Source organism: Homo sapiens, chromosome 10 (genome assembly GCF_000001405.40).
Source record: "Homo sapiens chromosome 10, GRCh38.p14 Primary Assembly".
Taxonomy (NCBI): Eukaryota; Metazoa; Chordata; class Mammalia; order Primates; family Hominidae; genus Homo; species Homo sapiens.
Window position 1 is genome coordinate 4,743,346 of NC_000010.11, and position 23,366 is coordinate 4,766,711.

The following is a 23,366-nucleotide window of genomic DNA, read 5'->3' on the forward strand; positions in this document are numbered from 1 at the left end:
GTCACATAGTAATAAGATCAGCATGATACCTGAAGCACACTGCAGTGTTTTGCCTGTAGCGGTTAAGCATATTTTTCTGATCAGGGTCAGTTATGAGGACACAGAAAGCCAGATTGTCTGCTTTAATTGAGCATCACATGCTTTTAGTACCTGAAGGGCTGGACTATGCAGGCTCTTATGGACTCATCCTTTGAACAGAGGACTTCCATCTGCTGGAAAGCACTTCTTTGTCATTTAAGTCAAGGTCATCTCATGGGCTGGGAAGGATGTGTAGAGTTGGAACCTTGCATCTATCTTGGAGGCAAAGTTTCATAAAACACTTCCCTTTCCCTGTCCTTCAGTGACGCCAACACCAAGGAGATGCCCATCCAAGGCTAGTGATAGGGACATGCACCACTGGTCCTCATGAAGACATGGAGTAGGTGGAGAGGTAGGGCAATGGCCAGCACCACAGAATGGCTGGTGCACAGAGAATGGCACTTGTCACCCTATATCCTGGAATCCTATCTCAGCTTTGACTTTGGCACATGTCAGTCTACCTAAACTGCCTCATCTGTGAGATATGACAAGTTCCTTTCTCAGTTACTTTCTTTTTATTGTTGTTGAGTGGTAAGGATATTTGATAACATGGCATATATAAAATGCCAGTGTGTCAAATAGTGTCCACCCGGATTTCATGTCCACTCAGAATCTCAGAATGTGACTTATTTGGAAATAGGATCTTTGTGGATGTTATTAAAGTAAAGATCAGGATAAGGGCGACTGGAGTGGGGTGAGCCCTAAATCCGGGGAAAGTGCCCGTGTAGGAGACTGGAGGGTCCACAAAGAGACTCAGAGGCACCCTTATGATGCCGGACCCAGAGATGGGTGCGATGCTGCCAGATGCCAAGACACAGGAGGCAGCAAAAGCTGGGTGAGGCAGGAAGGAGGCTCCCTAGAGCCCTGAGAGGAAGCATAGCTCTGCCAACAGCTTGATTTTGGACTATCCAGCCCCCAGAACGGTGAGAAAATAAATGTCTATTGTTTCAAGCCATGAAGTTTGTGGTAATTTGTATGGCAGCTCTGGGAAGACTAAGTTTAATTAAGTATTGCTATGATTAATATGAATCTCATTGGACTTCTTTATTATGTCCTGTCAAGACTTACGAAGGTGAGCAGGAGGCTGGTGTAGACCTTCCTCGGATTTGAAAACTTTAGATCATCAACTGGGAGAAAGAATTCCTAAATTACTAATTGACTGAATCAAATGTACTTTTTCAAAAAATCTTAACATTTTTGCTACCTCCTGCTTGTGGTTTGCCTCATGATGTTCCTTCTTTCACTGCTAATAATTTTCTTTTTCGCCATGAATGGGTGATCACCACAAAAGACTGGATTAGACTGACTCTCCTGCTAGAACAAATAAGAGAGCATGACTGAATTTTTAGCCAAAAGACAATTCGGAATCACCTTATTTGATGGAAATTTTTGCCTGTTTTTAACACCAAAAATAAATTTAAAACTATAATATAAAGTTTTGTTATAAGTTGAAATAGTTGTAAATAATGTAATTTTCATATCAGCAAATATGGGAGTTTTAGAAATAAAAAGAGGTCGACTAAAAATTAGACATGTGATCTTAAATTTACGTAGTGAAATCTAAATACCAGAATGATTTTATCTCTCAGATCATCCATTGAAAATATACATGAAAAAGCTCGAATAACAGTTGGCATTTCTACATCATTTTCTTCTCCTTGAATATAAACATTATTCCATTTCTTCCATATAATTTTATGTTAATGTAAATGTTTCTATGCTTCAAAGTGCTTTGCTCATCACCATATTATTTTGCTGATATAAAAATATGGATCTAAATGTCTGTGACCACAAGACTCTAAGGGTTAAGAACTTCTTCTAGACTTATTTTTCATTAAATCTTTTAATTTTTTTATTTCCATAGGTTATTGGGAAACAGCTGGTGTTTGGTTACATGAGCAAGTTCTTTAGTGGTGGTTTGTGAGATTTTGGTGCACCCATCACCTGAGCAGTATACACTGCACACAATTTGTAGTATTTTATCCCTCACTCCCTTCCTACTCTTTTCCCTTGAGTCCTCAAAGCCCATTGTGTCAGTCATATGCCTTTGCATCTCATAGCTTAGCTCCCACTTATGAGTGAGAATATATGATGTTTGGTTTTCTTTTCATGAGTTACTTCATTTATAATAGCCTCCAATCTCATCCAGGTTGCTGCGAATGCCATTAATTCATTCCTTTTTTTAATTGATACAGAATTAAACAAACAGCATAAATATTATAGTCAAAAAACATAAACACATAGACACAGCAATAATCAAAAAACATAAATATAAATGCAACATAAGTAGCTGAATTAATCACACAATATAAATACTAATGTAGGGGGACTTCTGGAACTGTGCTGGCCCGTGACCCTTCAAGGATGCCTCCAGTGGGAGTGAGGCTGCTTGCTCGGCCAGGGGTTATTCCTGGAGACAGACTTTGCTGTGATCAGTCAGCATCCACTGTCCTGACACTCCTGCAAATGGGTCATTCAGTCCTTGAGGATGATCCTGGCAATGTGACCCGGCATCACTGCACACAGCACCCTCATGCATCGATGCATGAAAGCATTTAGAACAGCACTCCACATGCCACGTTTAATAAATTAATAAATTATTAACATCAATAATGAGCTCTGCTTTGAAACTCCATACTCTCAAACTGTTCCGCCATTTCTCCTATAACCAAGTCTATTTATGGACAGAGAGAAAAGTACTCTATATAAAGACCCAGTGTAGAGACTGCTTTATCAAAAAGAAGCAAGTCCTAGAAAAAAGGACTTAAAATCCTGAAAACCTCCCTGTCTCTTGTTATCAGTTATTATCCAATCTCTGGAAATATGACAAGAAACTAATGTGCAATGTAAACATATTGTAAACGTATTCTTCCCATCACTAGGCTGAATAAAATATAATATAAAACTATCAAGTAAGACAAGAAGACATCTAGCATTAGTAAGGTCTAAAGATGAAAGTACTGGGCACATAAAGAAAAAGAGGACCTAAATAACAGCCTAATGCATTTGAATAGCCAAACTGATATTTTTATGCTCTTAAAAAAATACAAATCCACTTATTAGGTTTTATTACTTGTTAACATATCTTGTAAATCACACATTTTCCATGGTATAATTTTTATTTTTTTAAGTTGAACATTAAATGAAGACCACATCTCTTACCCAGAGAAAGCATTTTTGTAATCTCTTATTAAATATCCCCTCCTCCTTCTATTCTGGTTCACTTCTCTTCTGCCAAAATTCATATGCTGTAAGCCCAAAGCACATGAGTATTTGGTGAAAATTAAAGTTTTCCAAATTCTACGTAAGCATCTCTGATATTTCTGTAAAAATACATGAAAATGTCAAATAAACTCTTAAATATATGTTTAATGTCAAATATATGTATATATTTTAAGAATAATATTTGTTACTCAAATTATTTTTCTTGAATTACATAGAATATTTCTTCAAAAGTAGGTTAAAGATGTTAAAATACACTATTGTTTATTAAATGTGTTTGCATAAATCTGCCTCTTACTGACAGAAAGTTACTCTGAGAAGATAAATATAGAACTTAAATCATTGAACTATTGCTTGTATTCAATAAATAATATACCTTATTTTAAACATGACCATATTCTTTGACTAATAGTTTATACTATAAAAGCTACTAAGTAAAAAAATGAACATCTAAACTAAGAGGTACCAAGTAAAAAAATAAATATCTGAGCTAAGAGGTATTTTTCAGCTAGAGCTTAAAAATAAGTCTGTATTATAGTAAAACATTAAAAATCTATATAAAAATAATAATTACATGAAATTTCCTTTTTAAGAGGGGTAAGATATAAATACTAATGAGGTTAGTTAAAATTTTAGAAATGTTTGAGCGTGAAAAAAGTAGTCAAATAATTTACTTCTAAATTCTACAGGAAAGTTTAGAACTTGTATTTGTGTGAGAATTGGAAAACTCAATGAGACTTGATTTCTGATTTAAAATATTCAGAATATAAGGAAATGGATAGCATGAGCTATTACATTCTAAATGTTTCAAAAGCCAATATATATTTGTATTTTAAGAAACAAGAGCTAATATACTTCTTACATTTTATTATATGCAAATATATTGAGTTCATTTTTATAGCCTAACTTTAAAATAGTGAACTTAATTACAGTGCCTAAAATACAATTATATGTCTTTTCAAATAAATTAAAATTATAATTATTTCACGTCCCCCTTTAACAAAATTATTCTAAATCCTGAAAAGGAACTCAAAAAGTAAAGATAATCTTATTGACATGTTCACATATGTTCATATTTTAGCTTACTGGATTGGATTTCCCTGAATAATTAATGAAATTGACATTAATTGATATTTTCCCAAAGCCACTTTTAGTAGGTTTTCCAGATACCACTGTTTCCAGATTTCAAGTTTTTGATCAGACAGCTGAGCTGAAGGCAGATAGTTCTGGTTTCTTTAGCTCATTTTACTAAGAGGCTTAGTATCAACATACGGTCATGTCCATGATGGTAGGTTGGTCATTATCATCATCATGCATCAATCACGTTTTATGATCTGCTCCTCTGCGTGAGCTTGCAGTGCAGTAGAGTGGTATGAATGCATGTCCTTGTCCAGAGATGTTAGATTTGACCATGCAACTTGCTTTAACAATGGAATGAGGTGTATACAAAAATCTTTAAACTTGTGTGCAAGTCTATCGAGCCATCTTGCACTCATATGAACTGTCATGAAAAGAAGATACACAAAGTAGTCAATGACCCTCGAAGGAGGAGGAGACATGTGGACCAGACTTGAACTGCACCAGCATCCTGAAGCCTCTAGTCCAAATTCTGGAGTTCAGCTTAGCCAGGTAAGTTGCAAATAACCTGTAATCCCATGAGAAAGAAATACAGGCTCTTGGTTTTCTGTCTTTGTGACTTTTTCCACAGCAATATTGCAACAAGAGCTGACGAAAACACCCATACCAGATTATTTTACGCTTCAGAAAAATTAACATGAGTATTCAGATTTTTACAAAACGGTAATAAACCCTTACTTTTATTTGTATACGCATTTCTAGTTAGTTCTCAAGAAAATTTGTACTCCATTTGTCTTTATGTATTTGTTTGCTTGCTTTCTGCAGGGAATCAATAATTGGCAATCACAGCTTCAAGAAATACGTTATTTAGAGGTTTCTTCCAAAATATTTAGAGACAGGTAGTTTTTCTTGGGCATTTCTGTAAAGGTTCTTTATCAGCTCAAACATTCTGCTTCCTCCAGTATGATTTGGTTGGTAAAGGCAGCATGTGCAAGTGTTGTGGGTAGAGATATATATCATGTGCATGACTTTTGAAATCATTCAAAATTGTCTTTAAATTGCTGCTCTGCCCTTCTTAGCACATAACACTGAATAAATTATTCATCCTGCTTCAGCCTTAGTCTTCACATTGTTAAATGGGGATAGTAAATCCTAATTCCCCTGACTGATGTAAGAGTGAAGTAAGGCAATGCCAACGCCTCGAGTAATGCACATCTGCTTCCCTAGAAACACTCATTATGTGTCAGGTATTCTGATTAGCAGAGGTATTGTTCTAAAAATTACTATTTAATAGAATTTTAAATATGTCACTGACTATGAGGGAGTAATTTTTATGGTCTGGTCTCACAAACACACACCAAACTAGACCATATCTATGAAGCAACTGTTTTCAGGCATTGGACAAGAATATGCAGCATAAGAATATGACCACAGGGACAAAGGAAGCTCACGATTCTCCTGGCTCTCTGTGGGGGACCAATTCCTGAACAGCAGTACAGGAAGTTGGCCCCCATGCAGAGAATGGCAACTCCAGGGAGGTGAGAAGGCAGGGGTCAGTGTCTGGGTGGTTTGGGAGTCTGTGGGGCAGAAGAAGAGGGTGTCATGGAGATTGCAAGCATCCCTTTGGGGACACGTCATGAGCTTGGGCTGCATATGCTTATGCAGCTATGACTGCTCCCATCTTAACATAAACCTGCTTAAGGGTTTATGTTAAGGGGCGATTAAGCGGAGGACAGAGATAGGAGAGTCCTGCTGAAGGACATTGGGAGTCCAGCCTGCTATGATGGAGAGACGTTAAAGATACCTCATCAACAGCATTCAGGCACAGAGCTGAGTCCCCAGATGTCTCATTTTGGGCATAGAAGCCACCCCCTAGAGTAACTCCTACTGTGGCCCCACCTTCACAAAGCCTAAAACATCATCTGTCACAAAAAAATCCTTAGAGAAGGGAGATTTCGGAGGTTCAGGGAAATGAATTGGTCTTTCCATAGATCAGCCCTGACAAAGCATAAAACCAAGTCTAGGTTTAGCATGGTGGCTCATGCCTGTAATCCTAGCATTTTGGGGGGCTGGGATGGAAAGATCTCTTAAGCCCAGGGGTTCTAGATTAACGTGAGCAACATAATAAGACTCCATCTCTATCGAAAACAAAACGTGATCTGGGTTTTATGGTGTGTGCCTGTGGCCCTAGCTACTCAGGAGGCTGAGACAGAAGGATCACTTGAACCTGGTAGTTTAAGGCTGCAGTGAACTATGAGGACACCAATGCACTCCAGCCTAGGGAGCACAGCAAGACTTTATCTCTAAATAAATAAGTAATTTTAAGAAAATACAATTTTTAAAAAAGCAATTCTATACAAGTTCAAAGTCATCAGCAGTAACTGTATTGCCTGCTAATAAAAAATCAACACTTTTCAGAGGATGAGAACAGAATTCAGAGGTTGTACAATGTGTCATCTACAATGTCCCAGGACACGATAACAAAAAAAAATGAGATATACAAAAAATAAGTAAATATGACCCATGGTGAAAAACAGTCCGTTAGAAATATATCCCTTTTATGGCACAGATGTTGGATTTAGCAAGCTATTGTAATTATATTGAAATAATTAAAGGAAGATATGATCTTAATGAATGAATAGAGACACAGCCTCAGTGAAGATACGGAAAGCATGGCAGAAACCAAATGAAAAGTTCCAGCATTGAAAAGGCTATTCCTGAACCAAAAAATCTACTGCATAAGCTTGGCAGAGTAAAAGAGTCAGTAAATCAAAGGTGTTGATAGATATTATTGCATCTGAAGTACAAAGGAGAAAAATAAATCCTTGAAGAAAAACGAGCAGAGTCTCCTGGTCCCACGAGAGAATACCAAGCAGATTAGCATCCATGTATAGTATAATATATGCTACAACCTAATACATGTATGCTAATATTTTGAGTTCCAGAAGGACCGTGAGGATAGGAGAGGAAAAGTATTTGAAGAAAGAATAGTTGTAAAATCCCCAGGTTTTAATAAAACTTCAACTTACACACCAAAGCAGAATAAATAAAAAGAAAAGCAGATGTAACACTGTCCAAGATAAAGATGAAATCTTAAAAGCAACCAGAGCAAAATGATGTATTACAAAAAAAGAGAAATGTTGTATACTTTCTATTAATTCGTATCAAATAATACTAGAAGATAATAAAATGACTGCTTTAAAGTACTGAAACATAAAAGAAACAGCTCAGAGCCCTATATCCAGTAAACATATCCTTCAAAAACAAGAGTAAAATTAGATTTTTCCAAAGAATTTGTCACCAGTAGACTTAAACTCTAAGAAATGCCAAGTAATATTCTCAAGATGAAAGAAAATGATTTCTATTGGAAACTTGAATTTGACAAAAGAATAAAGAATACTAAAAGCAGCTCTACGTTGGAAAATAAAAAAGACTTTTCCATTTTCCTAATTTCTTTTAAAAACTGTTTAAAAAATAACATCATAAGGTAAATTTTATAGCATATATAGATATAAGATGTGTGACAAGAAGAGCTTGGATGATGGTGGGCAGGTGAGTGAGACTGCAATCTCATAATTCTGTTACATCTGGAAAGTGGAGTGTTATGAGAGTGGCAGGAGGCAGCAAGCATGAGTTATAACATGTGAATTGTGAACTGTAGGGTGTGGAGTATAAGGTGTGAAATGGTAAAATGCTGACTCTACATAATCTTTGATAAATTGACGATTCATATTGTCAGCCCTAGGGCAACCACTAAAAATAAGTTAAAAATATGTCTAGTGCAGAATTGCAGTGCAGAGAATAAAGCGGAATTCTAAGAATAAGTTACATAAAATAAAAGCAGTTAAAGGGCAATAAAGGAACAAACAGAAGTGACAAATGAAAGAAAATCACAAAATTGAATGATTAAATCCAACTATGTCTACAATGACGTTAAACTTAATTAGACTAAAGATCTCATCAGAAGGCATATTTTTTCACATTTGATAAAAAGCAATATATATACTTCCTAAAAGACAAGCTATTTTAAAAAAAGACAAATTCCTTGAATTACAAGGAAAGAAAATGTACAACATGCAAACCAATAAAAGTATGCTAACATAGCTATATCAACATAATAAAAGCAGACTTCACAATAAAGAGTATTAAAGAGAAAAAGAGAATTATAAGGAAGATATACTATCCTAAATAAATATATATCTATTGGCAAAGCTTGAAACCTCAAGCTTTATTAAGAAGTGAACTAAAACGAATAACAGTAAACACTATCCTTGAACTAAAATAGGTGAACTAAAACAAGTTCACAATCAGTATTTGATAAAACAATTAGACAAACTGTCAATATACAAAAAATTATATATATAATTATATATTATATATTATATATAATAGTAAGTATATATAAAACTGTCAGCATGCGGGGCTGAGAATGATGGCTTCTGGCTTAAACCATGTCCCTGCAAAGGACATGAACTCATTTTATTTATGGTTGCATAGTATTCCATGGTGTATATGTGCCACATTGTCTTTATCCAGTCTATTGTTGATGGGCATTTGGGTTGGTTCCAAGTCTTTGCTATTGGAAATAGTGCTGCAATAAACATACGTGTGCACGTGTCTGTATAGTAGAACGATTTATAATCCTTTCGGTATTCTCAGCAAACTAACACACACACATAAATCCAAACACCGCATGTTCTCATAAGTGGGAGTTGAACAATGAGAACACGTGGACACAGGGAGGGGAACAACACACACCGGGGCCTGTCGAGGGGGTGGGGGGCTACAGGAGTGAGGGCATTAGGACAAATACCTAATGCATGTGGGGCTTAAAACCTAGATGTCGGGTTGACAGTTGCAATAAACCACCATGGTACATGTATACCTATGTAACAAACCTGCATGTTCTGCACATGTATCCCAGAACTTAGAGTAAAAACAGAAAAATGATATAGGATATAAAGACTCACTTACACATACACACACACATACACATGTATTGGAAACATAATAATTTTTATATATCACAAGTTAATAATAAGGAAACAAACAATCCAAGTATTTTTTTAAAAGCATGGCAAACTATTTGAACAGACAAAGATATTCAGGTATTAAGATTTTTCTTAATCTTAGACATGAAAAGATGTTCCGCTTTACTCATCATGGAAGTGCTAACTAAAATTAAAATGAGAAACACTTCACACACTCGATTAGCTAAAATTAAAAAGGCTGACACTACCAAAAATTAATGAGGATGTGGAGCACGTGGAATCCACATACCTTGCTGGTGGGAATGTAAAACTCCACACCCACTGTAGAAAATAGTTCTGTACCTTTTATAAAATGAAACCTATGAGCCAGAAAGTCCAGTCCAATGTATTTATCTATGACAATGTTAAAAATGAGCAAACAACAATGTACCCAAAGCCTCATATACTAGTGTTTGGAGCAGCTTTATTCATAATAGTCACACTGGAAACAACCCAAATGCCTGTCCACCGGTAATTTACGCTAAACGTTGCGATGAAACACCATTCAGCAGTAAAAAGGGGCACACTTTTTGTGTGTATCTAACACACCACAATATTAATGAATCTTAAAAGCATAAAGCCAATTGAAAGAAGTCAGATACAAAAGAGTATGTTCTATATGATTCAATTTATGTGAAGTTCTAAAACATGCAAAACTTATAATGGTGAAAACCAGCTCAGGCCACCTGGGGTGGGGTAGGGGGTAGACAGAGGGATGTGAAGGGACAGGTGAGAGCATTCTGAAGACATGGAAGTGCTCTGTGTCTGGATCAAGGTGGTGGTCACATGTGTCAAAACTCATCAGTCTATACATTAAAAACACGTGCATTTAATTTAAGGTAGACTGTTGCCAATAAAGTTTATTTTAAGATAAGTAAGTTAATTTTTTAAAAGGAGACATAGATCTCCAGATCTATTTTGGATAAGTTCCAAAATGTAGTTAGCAGACCATTAGGAAGCCTGGAAAAGTGTATTAAAAGATGGCTCAGTTTCCGAAAGACTGCCATTTTCCTCCAGAATCCTACAGATGCTAATTTTTCATTGGTGACAACCCAGGCATGGTCAGGCATCCACTACTCCTGTGCCAGGACCCAGGCAAGGCAGCAGAATCCCCAAATGATATCTTTTCTTTTCTTTTCTTTTCTTTTTTCTTTTCTTTTCTTTTCTTTTCTTTTGAGATGGAGTTTCGCTCTTGTCATCCAGGCTGGAGTGCAATGGCGCAATCTTGGCCCACTGCAACCTCTGCCTCCCGGGTTCAAGTGATTCTCCTGCCTCAGTCTCCCAAGTAGCTGAGATTAGAGGTGTGTGCCACAATGCCTAATATTTTTTTTTTTTTTGTATTTTTAGTAGAGACTGGGTTTCACCATGTAGGCCAGGCTGGTCTCAAACTCCTGACCTCAAGTTATCCGCCCGCCTCGGGCACATTGCACTTGTAGAGTCTCCTTCCCCACATTGCACTTGTAGAGTCTTCCTCCCCAGGACTGCGTGGCCCTCGTTTTTTGTAGCGTGCTGCTAGCCCTACACCACCGCACCAGTCAAGGCTTACAGCATCTGGACTTTACCTCTGAAGATCAGACAAAGAGAATGCTGACTAGGGAAAACCAGTCTGGTTTTATTCTTAGCCTATGATAGCTATGGACATGATGAAGATACTGAAAACGACACTCAAAAACCCAGCTCAAAATCCATCATTAGACATATTCCCTGAACTCATCTAATCATTTGAGTCCCAGACTAGTCCCTTCCTACAGTGCATATTCTGACTGGGATTCTGGGGTATTTATGGAAGACACGATCACAAAGTTAGTTAGGATTGTAAAAGAGTGTGATGTTTAAAGAACTATACTATAGGAAAGAAAGAGTCTCTGCCAGCCTTTGGAAAAAAAAAGTTCCCTAAGACGTCAAGCCACAGTCTCTCTTTCCCACACTCATGTGCAGTATAGGATCCCTTCCTGGGTTCACTAAGGCCACAGTAGAGAAAGGGGTCTCATGCTATCTAAGACAGGGAGATGAGAACTCAGTCTCCACAGGAGAGGAGAAGAAGGGGCACTGTGTGATGAAGAGTGAATTTCAAAATGGGTACCTGAACTATGTGCTGAGCAACATAACATTTGTTTTATCACATGTTAAGGATCGGTCAGATGTGGTGGCTCATGCCTGTAATCCCAGAACATTGGGAGGCCGAGGTGGGCAGATCACCTAAGGTCAGTAGTTCGAGACCAGCGTGGTCAACATGGTGAAATCCCGTCTCTACTAAAAATACAAAAATTAGCCAGATTTGGTGGCGGGCACTTGTAATCCCAGCTACTCAGGAGGCTGAGGCATGAAAATTGCTTGAACCTGGGAGGTGGAGGTTGCAGTGAGCCAAGACTGTGCCACTGCACCCCAGCCTGGACAACAAGAGCAAAACTCCGTCTCAAAAAAAAAAAAAGTTAAGGATCAATTGTTTGGTTGGAATTTAATTTTTCTTTTTCAACTATTTATAATAACCTGTAGTGTTGTCTTATCATGCTGAGGCTGATTTGAATAACTACAGATTTAACAAAAAGTTCTTATAAAATTCCTGATTTATTAACTCTTTTTCCTAAATTGGGCAACTTCCAAAAGTTACTAATGAAGTCAAACTTTTGTCTCTGTCCTCCTGTAGCTTATTAGGGAACATTGGAAGAGAATGGGCAGAGATTTCGTCAGCTGAAATACTAAGACTCTGCCATCAACACTAGGAGAGACGCACAAGGACAAGTTGACCTTAATCTACATCCCACGGGTGTTGTGTTAACATTTTTAGTGCCCTAATCAAGAACCCTCCCGAAGTGGTTACTCAGCAATCTAAGAATCATGCAAATCCACACCACAGGCTTTGTTAAAAAGCACAAAGGATGTCAGAAATATTTTTTCACTGGTAAAATGAATCCTGCTCAGCATAATGTTCAGTGAAAAAGATTTTATGAGCCCCTGGCATTCCTGAAGCCTGACCTTCAGTGTCAACAAGAAGCCCCCTGCTCCCACGGGCCTCATCTTTCCAGAGGTCTCTGTCACCTGAACCTGCATGTGCAGTGGGCGGGTCCTGCCAGCGAAACCCTCCTGTGTCACACGCTAGGATGGAAGACCCGACAGCGCAGAACAGAGCTACCAAAGTAGGTTAGCTGATTGTTTTTCTTTTTTTAAAATAGACTTTAATTTTTTTAATATATTTTACTTTAAGTTCTGGGATACATGTGCAGAATGTGCAGGTTTGTTACATAGGTATACATGTGCCATGGTGGTTTGCTGCACCTATCAACCTATCATCTAGGTTTTAAGCCCCACATGCATTAGGTATTTGTCTTAATGCTCTCCCTCCCCCAGCTCCCCACCCTGCGACAGGCTCCGGTGTGTGACGATGTTCCCCTCCCTGTGTCCATGTGTTCTCATTGTTCAACTCCCACTTATGAGTGAGAACATGCGGCGTTTGGTTTTCTGCTCCTGGGTTAGTTTGCTGAGAATGATGGCTTCAGCAGTTTTATGTTCAGTAAAATTGAGCAAAAGGTACAGATTTCTCATAAACTCTCTGCCCCCATACACCTATGGCGTCCTTCATTATCAATTTAGAAACATCCCCCACCACACTGATGCATTTGCTGCAAACAATGAAGCTTCACAGGCACATCATTACCAACCAGAGTCCACAGTTCACACTAGGGCTCCCTCTTGGTGCTGTCCTCCTGGTGTTCTATGGGTGTGTACAAACATATAATGACATGGATTTACTGTTACAGTATCCTACAGAGTAGTTTCACCTCCTCAAAATGCTGTGCCCCACTTATTCATCATCCCCTTCCCGTAACCCCTGGCAGCTACTGATCTTTTCACTGTCTTAGTAGTTTTACCTTTTCCAGAATGTCATAGAGTCAGAATCCTGCAGGATGCAGCCTTTTCAGATTGGCTTCTTTCACTCAGTAACATGCATTTAAGGTTCCTCCTTGTCTTTCATGGCTTGATAGGTCATTTCTTTTCAATGCTGAATAATATTCCACTGTCTAGTATATTTAAGACCATTGATGTTTAACGCGATTATTGATATAGCTGGATTCGTATCTACCATGTTTGTTACTTTTTCTATGTGTTGGTTTGTTCTCTGTTCCTATGTCTTCTTCCACTTTGTTATTACCTTTTGTGGTATTTTTTGTATGACTATTTTTGTGCCTACATATGAAAATATGTGTGTCAGAATTGTATGTACAAGTTTATTGTAACAAAAACAAAGAAAGCAAATATATTTATATACATAGATATATTTTGGTATTTTGACTGTAAACACACACATACACACGCATACACACACACCCCACCCATATATATATACTCTCTCTTCTCCCTCTAAATGCCATAACTGACCAAAATAATCTATTAGTGACAGCCAAATTGTTTAGGTCAGTTTGTGGAATGAGGATGTAACCTTTAGTGGCTTATTTATAAGGTATACCCTGACACTCTCAATTCCTTTTGCCCCATTCACAAAATCATAGATATGATATAGTCTCTCAGGCAAAGTAAACGCAAGGGGAAGGGCATCAAGCACCTTGTGAGGGAGGAAATACTAATTTCGTTTTGCAGGTAAGGAAAGTGAAGTTATGTTAGGGAACAGGCAGGAGGCCACCAACTACTCGAGCAGAGGAAACCGGGACTAAAACGCCGGCATGGCGACCCCGTCATCTCTGTGTCTGCAGAGGTGGAGCCCTTGCTCCCACCTGCCTTGCATCACAAGATCAAGGTGACCAGAAGAAGCTTCTCTCTGGACCTTTGATGCATTTGAAGTGCTGGAATAGAAGACAAAGGGTAAGGATAATATATTTGTTAGTAATTTCATCAGAGGTGGCAAGAGATAGTGAAAGCCTTAACCCTAAACAGGAGGCAGAGAGCAGTGTTGGCCATTTCCAAGGGCATGACATGTATGAGACAGGCATGTTTGAGTTGGGGGAAAATCTGTGCTTTATCTTGTCCCCTATTTCATGAGAGGGTCTCATGGACATTTCAACATAAGAGGCAATTATATGGTAAGAGTAATTTCCCTAAGCAGGTGGATGTATTCTGCTTATTGAAATCAGGGGTTGTAAAAAGTGTTGAACGCAGCTGAGAAGGGATAACCCTCCTGGATATGGGAAGAGCTGTGTATATTTTGCAGAGTGGATAAACTGTTAGTGGTTCAATGATTTCTGAAAGCGATTTGCAAAACTGCTGTGGGGAACAGATAGGTAAATGTTGACTGATTCATTGAAGGATGCTGGCTCCAGCTAAAGCCAATGACTGGAAAGGTATACTTTGGAGTTCTATTTCTTGATCCACACCAAATTTTCTGCTCCTGAGGCAAGCTATTTCAATCCACCATGCCCCGGCTTCCTCCTCAGATGGATTTCACCTCATTTGTTAGTAAGGCTTAAGCTGGCTGAAACACAGCCTACATAAGAACAAGGTGATATTGGCAAGTGGGTGGGAAAAAAATTGGATAAAGAGGTCAAATGAACAATGGTAATAAAGGCTGAATGTGTTTAGCCTGAAATGCTATGAGTTGCAGATTTATAGCCATCATTGCTCCCTGAAATCCACAAGAACATTGACAGGAATAAAAGTCTGAGTGTCTTTGTGGGGAGGATTTCCTCTAGGATCTAGGTCTTATTCACCCTATGATCCATGAATAAACTATTTAATAGCCCAGTGCTCTCCTTTTATTTTATTAAGAGATGACCATAAAGGTCAAACTTTAGTATCCTAGTCAGCAGAATCAAATTTCTTCTCACTAAGACACTATGTCGTTATCTATGGTGTGATTCAGATTTTAGTGTATTCAAATTGTATTCAGTTTCTCAAAAGAGCTCCCAAATTGTCCAAGAAAGACATAATTCAAAGAGACTGAAGTCCCTGGACTACAGGATCTGATAAACTTAACTTGAAATGAAAACAGTAATGAAAAATTTATATTTAGAAATGTATTTCAGGAATATGAAGAAATGAAATTATGACACATGCCACAGCATGGATGAACCTTGAATTTTTTTTTTTTGAGACAGGGTCTTGCTCTGTTGCCCAAGCTGGAGTGGAGTGGTCCCATCTCTGCTCACTGCAACCTCCGCCTCCCAGGTTCAAGCTAATCTCCTGCCTCAGCCTACCTAGTAGCTAGGATTACAGGCGCCCGCCACCAGGCCCAGCTAATTTTTGTATTTTAGTAGAGATGAGGTTTCACCGTGTTGGCCAGGCTGGTCTCAATCTCCTGACCTCAGGTGATCCACCCACCTTGGCCTCCCAAAGTGCTTGGATTTCAGGCATGAGCCACGGCACCCGGCTGAACCTTGGGGATCTTATGCTAAATAAACTAAGCCAGTCACAAAAGGACGAATACTGTGTAAGTCCACGTTAATGTGGTACCTAGAATAGTCAAATACACAGAGACAGAAAATAGATGAGGGGTTACCAGGGTCTAGGAGGAGGAGAGAACGGGGAGTTATTGTTCAGTGGGTGCAGAGTTTCAGTTTGAGATGATAAAAAGGGTTCTGGAGAAAAAATGGTGGTGATAGTTGCACAAGAACATGAACGTACTTGCCCCTGAACTCTACACTTAAAAATTGTTAAAATGGTAATTATGTTATGCATATTTTACCTCATTAAACGTGTGTGTGTGTATTAAAGTAGACTTCCTAACACTACATATACAGCAAAGATTAGCAGCTGTATCAAGAAAAAGCACATAATATGGGTAAGTTTGCAAAAAAAAAAAAAAAAAAAGGTATACTTTTCCAAACTTTTAATTAGTCCTTATCCAGGGAAAATGTGAAACAAACGTTCACAATGAAGTCTTTGACTAGAACCTGTGTAATCTCCGAGATATATCCATCCCTTCTTAGCATGGGAACGAAGAACAGGAAAGACAGGACAGAAAAGATGGAGAAATTGCTACTGCCTCACATATGCTATCACCATGTATGGGGTTTTTGTTGTTGTTGTTGTTGGTTTGATTATTTTATTTCAAATAGCAGGACTTCATCAAATATAAAAACAAAGTCAGCTATATATATTGAATATATATTGGCTACAGTGAATACTGAAGGGTTAAATTTGTTGAGAGTGTTTTCTGGATGTGTGGCCATTGGCTATGCTGTGTGTTGGCTTTATCGTCTGATCTGGTATTGTTCTTGTGGACACTGTCAGAGATGGCATGTTTTTGCTCCTTGGAATCAGGGGTTTCTAGAAGCTGAACATGTATGAGTTTCCAAGGACATTAATTCCTTAATGCCACTAACTTTATAAAGCATGTTAAAATAATACATCTTCCTAATAAAAAAAATAGCCCCTAGAATAATTAATGAAGAGAAAAGAGGAAGCAAAAGGATGGTTTGGTATATTCAGATGGAGGAGAAATGAAAAACATAAAGGAGGTCAGGAAAAAGGAGAAGAAAAGAGGAAAACAGTTTAAAGTGAGGATAGAGATGTAGGATCGCAGGCCAGAAAAGAATCAGAAATAGGGATGTGGACAGGGCAATGTGGTTTTTAAGCCCTCCTGCTGGTTTACCTACTGAAATGCAGAATGGTTTAGCTAGACAGTGACGTGGTCGAGAACCTTACAACAGGCTGTTAAAGAGGGTTGTGGACCCCGAAGAACACAGACCAGGACATGACTTTACCATATTGGATCAATGAACGGTCACCATCAACCAGTCTAAGAAGAAGAAGAAGATGATGACCCAGCCAAATCCTCTTACACAGTCCGTAGACACATAAAAGTGCAAAACATCTGTCCTCAGTTGTGCATTTTTGTTAGGAGATGGGTAAATATTTAGTCATTCTCTACTTAGTGAATCCTGGCAGAGTACTGATTGCATTGAAAGCATCTTATCAATTTATGCCTAGTGTTCCATTATTGGAATGCTAAGCATGTGGGAGTTATCCTCCTGTTGGTCCCTCTCTAACTGTGGCTCTTACTGATGGGAAGGCAGCACTTGGAAATGGGAAGGACAAGTGTGCAATACTTCAATTCCTGCTGTATCAGATGCAGAAGCAACAAAAACAGGACCCCAAAATGCCCCAAGTGCCCTCCCACCCTTCTGCACTGAGCACTCCCTTAACTTCATCAGCTGAACTTGGGCCTCCATAGGACCTGATGGGGTGGAGATGGGAGAGTCTGTATCCAACAGACCCAGACAAGCTTGAGTCTCTCCTTCCTGTTCTCCAGCATATTCAGATGGGTGAGTATGTGCTTCAGTCCCCCTTGGGGACCCAGAGACTTGGGCTCCATCCTTAATCTTTTATGCCTGAGGTTGCAGTTTTTTGAATTTGAATAATCAGACCTGAACAATGACCTTGGTCATGCTGTCAAAACTGCATGCTGCAGTCTACCTCCCCAAAACACAGTGACTTCTATCATAGGAGTTATTACAGGAGACCTTGAAGCATTGCAAGAAACTCCGTGTGGCCCTTGGATGATGGTGGAGCTCTCTCAGACATGAGGATTCCTTGGTAACCCAGGGAAGCTTCCCGGAGAGACTTGGCAGTTATACGCATCCTGAGAGCCGTTATCCTGACCATAGAAGTCAGCCAATCAGAACAGGTGCTAAGAAATGTCCCATCTTTGGCTGAAGTGATCAGTGACACCAACTCAACCCAAGTCAGTACTCAGGTCAGCCTCAACTCACTGGGCAATGTTATTACAGATGACCAGGACTGCCCTGGATGTCCTCTTTGTGGGCCAAGGCAGAATCTGTGCAGTCACTAATACATCCTGCTCTTCTTGGATGAATGCCTCAGACCATGTGGAAACGTCCACACAGAAACGTAACGAGAGAGCCACAGGGCAATCTGTGGTGGAACCTTATGGCTTGTGACAGGGTTAGCAAATGTTCCCTGAGAAGAGTCAGCCAGTAATTATTTGGGGCTTTGCATAAGGGCCCGATGCAACCTCTGCCTTTACAGTGCAAGAACAGTAGAAAACACATACGCGAAGGAGAGGCGTGAACAATGGTCGGCCGCCTCCCAGTTCATGCAGTTTGCTCAGTTAGCTGCATCCCGGACTTGGGGTGGGGTGTCATAGCTTAGGTCACCACAGCAGGTTGCCCTCATGCTGTTGTTAGCAGCCTAAACTGCATGCTAGAGGGGGAATAATTGACCAGATTAATCATAGTGGCCAGTGGAGTGGTATGCTCATGGGAAAATTCATCATTGTTTTGGAAGATAATTTTTCATGGGCTTCTGGATTTGGGTACACCTTGTGAGCAGAGGCACTGGCCACCCTGTGTCTCAGCCCATCTTTCCAAGGATATTTGAATAGCAACCACTATGAAACGTCCTTTTATGAAGGAGACTCCCTCCATGTCTTTTTCTAGAGCAGGTGAATGATACACTTTCCACCCATTATTAAAGCTCTGGGTTCTCTAAGTTCAGAGCTCCGTTCCTGCATCACCACCCCATGCCTGCATGCTTCCCTGCCTCCATCTGGGAAAACTTGCATCCTTACCTGTGGGACTTAGGGGACAACTGGCACTAACTCAAAACACAAGATGCTCCAGCTGGCTACTACACCACAAGTGGTAAAGTCTTTCGTCTCTTACCCAGGAGTGTCATGTCTTTTGACAGCATCCATAAAACTGTGGCTGCATAGCTTGTTGGTTGCAAGTAGGATAAAACCTTAGACCTTTCACAGCCCTTGACATTCCCAGTAGGGAGCTATGCAGTTCCTGTGTCTTCAGAGCAGCTTCATGGCTGAATGTGAATGACCTTAAATCAGCAGTGGGCTTTGAAATCTTCAGACGAACATCTTCATAAAAATGCAAAATGATATTATGAATTTAGGGGCTATGTATACAGCCTTCATTTTAAACTCAGTATCTTCATGCACTAAATGAAAAATCACTCTAATCAGTCAAAAGGCACTTTGGGGAGTACTCAAAATATGGGAGTAATATTCAAATCATAATTTTGCTTTATTATGATTTGTGAGCAAATCCAATAGTCATATAGATATTAATATTCCATGGGAGGAAGAGAGAGAGAGAAAATATATATATTCTGAATGAAGGAAGTTGATAGCAGGGCAGGAGCAGGCCATTAACTCCAGTCACTGTGGAGATTTTCTTTCCTTCCAATAACCTCAAATGCAGTTATTCTGCCATTTAATATCATTATTTTTATTCTGAGTGGACCATTCATCTTATAAATCGATTAGTTTGACTAATCATTAATTTTCCTGGTATTTGATTTTGTTCAAGTTACTCAGAAGCTCTTTGGCCCATCTCTCTTTCCAATCTTTCTATTCTTTCCCCCTTCTTTCCATTCATCATTTTCTCAATAACTTCCCTGGGAACTGCAAAGCAAATTATTTGGTAGCATACTTCATTAGGAGGGAGATTTGCATGAAAAGAGAACATTTTATTTAAGATTTGAAATTCGTGACTGTTCTTAAAGTCTTTTTGCTGTTTGATCACAATTAGAAAGCTAATGTCAGCTCCTTGATGAGAATGAGATGAATTTAACACAAAAATTCTCTGCAGCTGTGGACTGCAGGATGCAGCGCAGGCTCCTGCAACCTCTTGTGTCTAGTGGGTCCTGCTCAGAAGCTTCTTCATGTAAACAAATAACCCAAGAAAAACGATGGAGTTTTCTATGCAAATGCAGGGTCATAACAATTTCCTGAGATTCTCCATTCATAAATTTACCCCTGTGAGTCTCTCCTTTTTAGAAACTCTGTAACTACCACTGGAGCTGCCATACACTGAGAGGGCAACTACGCAAAAGGCTGACAACTAGACCATATGTGAAAATAATACTCTGGGCCGGATGCAGTGGCTCACCCCTATAATCCCAAAACTGTGGGACATTGAGGCAGTAGGATCACTTAAGCCCAGGAGTTCCAGACTGCAGTGAGCTATGATCATTCACTGCACTCCAGGGTGGGTGAGAGAGACACCCTGTCTCTAAAAAAAGAAAACAGTACTCTCATCCAGAAACTCCACTTTTGAGCAATCTGCCCAAAATGACCACCCCTTGATTAATAACTGACAGCTTCTCTAAATTTTGCCCTCACTCCCAACTAAGTAACAAACAGAGAAAACCAAATATGCTCTCCTAGCCAATCCCATAGGATGCTCCAATTCTAGGTAGCCTGCCTCCAGCTCCCCAAGCCAACAGCCTCTAGTCAGGGCACACTGAGCCTTCCCTTTTTTCCACTATAAAGCTTCACAGCCCCTTACCTGCCTTTCAGTCTCTGCCAAACACAAATGACAGTGCTGACTCCTCTGATCCAGATGAGCTCAGAATACATAGCCTTTGCCTTTCTTAGTTGGCTGGTCTTCATTTATTTCACATAACAGGAAGAGTCTATGAGTTACTAGTGGTTCTATAATAAAACCTCTTGATAACTAAGGTCTGAATCATTGCATTGCTTACAATGTGGGTTACTGCAAATTAATAAAAGACCGCATTGTTTCCCACTAGTTTGTATGTTTACATTGCCATAAAAAACACAAAAGTAAGGATAATGAAAATCATACTGGAACCAACAAAGTAAAAACTGACTGAGAATTTCATACCTCTACCCTACAGCCGACTCCCTCTTCTGGATATGAATGTCTCTCTCCTTTTGAGAATGGCTTTTTGTGGAGGTGGGCGTCAGGTGGCGACCACGTTGTATCTGAATCCTCGTTATTGTGCAGTCATCACAAGGCTTGCTCTCTTTGTGTTTGTAGTCTTTAATTAGTAAGCTTTATAGCTGTGCAAATTCGCAATCTTTATCCACCATTCTGAAATCCAAAATGCAGTAAAAACAAATAGGAAAAAAAAGAAAAAAAGATTGTCCGTAATGTGTTTAGCCACAGTAACTGACCTGAGCTAATGACAACCTATTTAGAGTCCCTGATTGTCACCGCCCTCAATTTCATACCAGTGGCCACAGAATCCATAATGAGCTTAATTACATGGAGCTGCCCCATACCTTGCTGGGGGGATTATATAATATACTGTTTTGTAATGTATTACCATTATAAAATCCAAAAGAAATGTAAAAAATCTGAATTTTGAAACACATAACACCCGGGATGTTTTGGATAAGGTTTAAGGAACATAACCCATTGACTGACTGAGCCCTGCAGTCCTTATTAACACAAGCATTATCTTGAGAGAACACACTCAGAATGGAAGGACAACCTAGATCTCGTTCAGCCCAGTTCCTCCCATTTCACATGGAGAAACTGAGGCCTAAGATGGCTCACCCACCAGGTTTCACACATTCTTATATGTCACAATCTGTAGATTTGAAAATCTGTCAACTCTTCAGCAAGGGTAGGTAGTTACTAAGACAACAAAGTGATAATTAGTAAGTCATCATTAGTAGGCAACATTTTGAAATAATTATTACTAGGTTTAACAGATTTTAAATGTTTTCCTGGTTCATGCTATGAAAGTCATTAATGTTTTTTTTTTTACATGTTCAAGCTTCTAATCATTAAAAAAATAAAAGCTAGTTTAAACATTGGACAAAAGAAAACACGAGCTATGCAAAATGGGTTAAATATCATTAGAAAGATAAATTTGGGGGGCATAAATTCCACCTTTTAAATAATAAAGGATTGTTTTCAAGAGAAGATTTTTGCCAGCGTTTTGTCCAAGACATTTTCTAATGAGGTAAACATCAGGGAAGTCATGTCCTCTAATTGTTAATTTCCAGTTCAAGTAGGCATTCCAAATAAAATTTATTTTACAAATTTTCTCATAATGTGGTCAAATATGCTTTACAGTTATTTATGCAGAGACCTCAAAATACAATCAGAGAGGTTTTGCTGCTTCCTTTACTTGGAGTGAGATGATAAAATCACCAAATGCTAAATGTCAGAAGGCTCCCAGGGAACATCTGATGTGGTCATTTGCTTTGATGAGTAAACCAAGGCCTGGACACTTAGCTTTTGTTAAAGGTCCTTCTACTTAAGAGTAGCATATGCTGAAAACTGGGAGACCATTTTTTTGTCTTCTAATGGTAATAACAATAATAATAACCAGTTATTTCAGCCAGGCAATCGGCAAAATGTTTTATCTGAATTTATGCATTTCATCTTACTTCTAAAGCAATATCGCCACAGATTGCCTTTTGTCAAAATGAAACTCAGTTAAATGGTTGCATTGATCTTAGCAATTTGATTTCCACATACTTTCAAAAGAAAACCATATTTTATTTAATAAAATAATATTTTTTAATTCCATAAAATAATTTTTTTTTCTAATCAGACATTGGATTGTAATTTTGCTTACCTTGTATTCTCTGATTATGATATATTAAAAGTTATTCCACTGTTAAACTACCATCATCTTTTCATTAGCTAATAGAAAGCATTACCCATTAATAAAACAAATATGGATAGACCTGGTAGGACATTTTGGTTTTCAGAAATTTATCTTTTCTTACCTGTGCAACAAAAGCTTCTAATTTCTTTTCTTTTCAGCATAAATGATCATGCATGGTTCTTCAGACTGGGTTCAAGCCATTTAGCAACATCATCAAGAAGAAATAATGTTAATTACCAAAAATGAATAAATTTTTGAGAGTCCACGGCTGCATAATAATTCTCTGTAGCTTTCAATTATCAGGTGAGGTGATTATTTTTGATGAATCAAGCATTTTTATGAACTGAAGCTTTCAGCACTCTTCTTTGACTACAGTGCAATACTGCAGGCTATTGTCAACACCTATTTTTTGAAAAGTAGCATACATTCCCGTTGGCATTCTGGCAACAGAATAGAAGCTTGGGCTCCTTAAATCATCCCCATTAATATGCTATTGTTGACTGTATAAGAAATATTTTCCTAGTACAAAGCAAATGTGTAAAAAAAAATCTCTCTCTCTCTCTCTCTTTCTCCCCCTGCCCCCACCTTCTCTCTCTCTCTCAGAAATAGCCAGAAGCTAGACAGGAAGCATTTGGCAAAATGACACGTTAGTTTGCAGCTGGA

At 38.7% G+C, this 23,366-nt stretch overlaps 2 long non-coding RNA genes across 2 annotated transcripts in view; both read right to left on the reverse strand.

Annotated features, from left to right (window-relative positions):
• LOC105376375 (uncharacterized) overlaps window positions 1-23,148 on the reverse strand; it is a 60,465-nt gene extending 37,317 nt beyond the window's left edge. Inside the window, exons 1-2 of the long non-coding RNA XR_930599.2 lie at window positions 22,825-23,148; window positions 20,960-21,169 (exon numbers count right to left, since the gene is read on the reverse strand). This is a non-coding gene — a long non-coding RNA (uncharacterized LOC105376375). The remainder of the gene's footprint in view (window positions 1-20,959; window positions 21,170-22,824) is intronic.
• On the reverse strand, window positions 14,103-20,699 carry LOC105376374 (uncharacterized). The gene is made up of 3 exons (XR_930598.3): window positions 20,621-20,699; window positions 18,983-19,188; window positions 14,103-14,206 (listed from the first exon to the last, which is right to left on the reverse strand). It is a non-coding gene; the product is annotated as an uncharacterized LOC105376374 (long non-coding RNA).
• Window positions 23,149-23,366: the final 218 nt, after the last annotated feature.